The sequence below is a fragment of the Homo sapiens genome, chromosome 1 (assembly GCF_000001405.40).
Source record: "Homo sapiens chromosome 1, GRCh38.p14 Primary Assembly".
NCBI classification, from domain to species: Eukaryota; Metazoa; Chordata; class Mammalia; order Primates; family Hominidae; genus Homo; species Homo sapiens.
In genome coordinates this window covers 37,453,856-37,454,747 of record NC_000001.11, presented here as the reverse complement: position 1 = coordinate 37,454,747, position 892 = coordinate 37,453,856, and positions in this window count along the sequence as shown.

The window sequence follows — 892 nt, the reverse complement described above, 5'->3', positions numbered from 1 at the left end:
TGTGTGTGGGCTCTCACCTGGGTGTGGGAAGATCAGAGGGACCCCACAGGTCAGTGTTTGCAGATGAAAAAATGAAGGTAGGAGCTGGGCACGGTGGCTCACGTCTGTAATCCCAGCACTTTGGGAGGCCAAGGCAGGTGGATCACGAGGTCAGGAGATCGAGACCATCCTGGCTAACATGGTGAAACCCCGTCTCTACTAAAAATACAAAAAGTTAGCCAGGTATGGTGGCGGGCTCCTGTAGTCCCAGCTACTAGGGAGGCTGAGGCAGGAGAATGGCGTGAATCTGGGAGGCGGAGCTTGCAGTGAGCCGAGATCGCGCCACCGCACTTCAGCCTGGGCTACTGAGCAAGACTCCATCTCAAAAAAAAAAAAAAAAAAAAAAAGAAGGTAGGAAGCTTCAGCCTGAAGGTAAAGTTTTGGGGCAGCTCCAACCCACTGCCCTCCTGGGACCGGTTTTATCAGCGTTTCCCTGTAATTGGTGAAAGGCCTTCAGTTAGCCATTTCTCTGAAGATTAGAGAAAGCAAGAGAGATGTGAGTTAAACACAAGGCGGGACTTCTCAATGATGGGGGATGTCAGACCTCAGAAAGGGGAGCAAAGGAACCTTCCCACTGAGGGCAGCCTCCAGTGAGGTGGGGTCCAGGCCAGGCGGGTGAGATGGCCCTCAACACTGTCCATCTGGAGGGGCCTGGGACTAGGTTGTAGTCTATGGGGGTCTCAGGATGGAAAGGCCTCTTGAGAGGCTCCTGGTGGCTGGGACTTTTGTGGATGGGATGGTGAGGACGGGCAGGGGGAGAGACTGAGGCCCAGAGGCATTGCCACCCCCATCCTCCCCCGCCTGGTAAACTCATCTTCCTGACTCATTGGCTTGCCTCCTCTGCGGACACTGC